This window comes from Homo sapiens, chromosome 4 (genome assembly GCF_000001405.40).
Source record: "Homo sapiens chromosome 4, GRCh38.p14 Primary Assembly".
Classification (NCBI taxonomy): domain Eukaryota; kingdom Metazoa; phylum Chordata; class Mammalia; order Primates; family Hominidae; genus Homo; species Homo sapiens.
In genome coordinates this window covers 125,507,041-125,509,948 of record NC_000004.12, presented here as the reverse complement: position 1 = coordinate 125,509,948, position 2,908 = coordinate 125,507,041, and the positions used below count along the sequence as shown (strand labels likewise).

Sequence of the window (2,908 nt, the reverse complement as noted above, 5' to 3'; positions counted from 1 at the left end):
CACCCATACCACGAACTGTGTTACCACCAACTGCTGAACTCTCAGGAGATTGAGTGATTATTATGCTACCATCTATATATTTGATGAGGAAAAATATTTGATATGGTTTGGCTGTGTCCCTACCCAAATCTCATCTTGAATTATAGTTCCCATAATCCCCACATGCCATGGGAGGGACCAGGTGGGAGGTAACTGAATCATGGGGTGGTTACCCTCATGCTGCTCTCTTGATAGTGAGTGAGTTCTCACGTGATCTGATTGTTTTATAAGGGGCTTTTCCCCTTTTGCTCAGCACTTCTCTCTCCTGCTGCCATGTGGAGAAGAACATGTTTGATTCCCCTTCTGCCATGATTGTAAGTTTCCTGAGGCCTTCGCAGCCATGCAGAAGTGTGAGTCAGTTAAACCTCTTTTCTTTATAAATTACCCAATCTTTGGGATTTTTTCATAGCAGTGTGTGAACAGACTAACACAATATTACAAGGAGGAATTATTTAATATTTTTTGGAAGTGTTACAAATTGATCTTAGTGTGTCATTTTTGACCAACTGACCAACTTGTGCCAAGGGTCTTTTCTTATACTTAATTCTACAAGAGTCAATTAGATTAATTACATCTGATCCAATAACATCCTATTGTTCAATTAGTTTCAGCAAACAATATTACTGCCTGTCTTATTACTTTTTTATTCAAAATTGTTCATAGCAACCTTGCTGGCAGGTACTATCAGAAGGTAATGAATTTGAGCTTATCTTATTTTGCAGACCACGTGTTAACATATCATAATATGAGCACCATATAAAAATGCATATGATGTTTTTCTGTGCAGTACATTAGGAAGACCCAAGCTTTTGGATGTTGCTTTTTTCTTAAAAAATAACTTGACATCTAATTTTCATTTGTTGTTACTTTTTAAATTATGATTTTATAGATTCATTTGGTTATTTTTAAAATGTGGGCTATATTTGCTCAAAGAAAATATTTCAATATTTAAATATATTTCAGCAATGTATAAATATAGTGAAGTTACATTATTTTGTTTAATGAGTGATACATATGCTTGGTTTAAATGTGTAGGAATTTTTTTCTTTCACAATAATGTATGAAAAATATTTCATTTCTTGAAAGGATTGCTTTTATATTGACTTGAATTTTTACAAAAATATCTGTTTTTGTCTAGCTTTAAAATCTTTTTATTTCTTAAAGTGAGACTATTTCTTATTAATGAAGTAAAAGTTAGGAATCATTTTCTCTAGATTATTTAGGAAAACTGCTATGAAATGTAAAATTCCAGAACCTCTTTTTACTTGATGTAGTTTTGCAAACAAAACAATTTTACTGAAACTTCCCACCTAAAAACAAAATGCTATGTCTTTAGATATATTCTTTCAAGAAATCACGGGGGACTTATATTGATTTCTTCATAAGGGAAAATTAATATAAATCAAAAATAAACAAGCAACCAAAAAAAACTGAAATCCAGACTTTTCTAACTAAGGAAGGTAATGATAAAGGAAAATGAATAAGTGTTTTCTTTGAATAGCTTAATGAGAGTCGCAGGAAAACAACGACCTATTTTACTATTAAAGTACTTATCTACAAAAAATTGTAATGGAAAAACTTCTGCTGAGCAGGCTAGCAATGGGTATCCCCTAGGACCCAGAACACTTAATGGGTTTTCAGTTCTGTTCTAAATGTTTTTTTTTTTTTTCTTTTTTTGCCTATTCTCAACCAGTGTTGTGCAAAATGTCAGGTTTTCTTCAACTTTCTTTTCTTCCTCCTTAGAAACTCTTGCCCTTTGTCAATTGTTTAGAGGCAGAAAAGATTACATTTCCGTACAAGAAGTCCAGATTAGTTGAAGACACTAGAATTCAAAGCCTGCAAAGATTATACCAAATGTATACGTATGCATTTTTAAACTATCTAGATTGCTCCCAACCTGTAAAATTTCAACAGACTCAAATTATATCTGTGCCTTGGAAATAAAATAGGTGATTAATTAGCCATTAAAGTAGGAGAATCAAAAGATCAGCTGATATCAGGATTAAATTGTCTTTTACCCCAAGAAGTACAATTTTAAAAAAATCTGGTTAGAGACCGATTAATCATGAAGTGACTCTTTTGGAGAAGTTTTGCTCTGAGTCTTTTAGTTTTGATAACTTCATGTCCTTGACTTTTTAAATAACACAATAAACTAGCTAACTTAAATTTTATTTTATTTATTGATATTTATATAAATATATGTCTATATAAATATGTTTATATAAATATATGTTTTATAAATATGTTTATGTAAATATAGCAAATTTATACTTGCTATCAGATTATCTGGTGCATTGCTGATTGCTCTGCCTTTCAGTGAGAGTCACTGGGGAAATTTATATCTCACCAAAAGAAAATTCTGTAATTTTGCTTCTGTTATTGATTATAAAACTGAGCAATATGAGAAACAGGAGAAAACTCAAGTCTACAAGGGACCATCAGTCACTTGGTTTGTCTGAATTAATTGTTATCTTCAGACAACCAGTTTGTGTTGCTCTAGCCTGAGTTTACTTACTAAATTTAGAAGCAGTCTCAAGCATTATTACTGCATATAAAACATAGACAGCTAATTACCCTCTGTTGAATATTTTAATATGCTCCTCTGTAATACATTTTTTAATGATAGAGAATAAATTAAATTTATATTACAGGAAGAAGGAGAATCTACACACTGGTGCTTCTTAATTGTTGCCAAAGGAAACCTAGCAAAAACTCATGGATTCAATGGGAGTATTAATAAGCCAATCAACAGATGGCTAATTGTACCACTGAAAAATGCAAATAAATTAATTCTCACTTGCTCTCATCTATTGGGAGATCAAAGTAGAATTATTAGTTTCCATCTCAATATATTTATATAATTTATACA

General features: G+C 31.4%; 1 non-coding gene across 1 annotated transcript; it reads right to left on the bottom strand.

Annotated features, from left to right (window-relative positions):
- Positions 1-2,641: 2,641 nt before the first annotated feature.
- MIR2054 (microRNA 2054) lies at positions 2,642-2,690 on the bottom strand. Its single transcript, NR_031746.1, has one exon. It is a non-coding gene; the product is annotated as a microRNA 2054 (primary transcript).
- Positions 2,691-2,908: the final 218 nt, after the last annotated feature.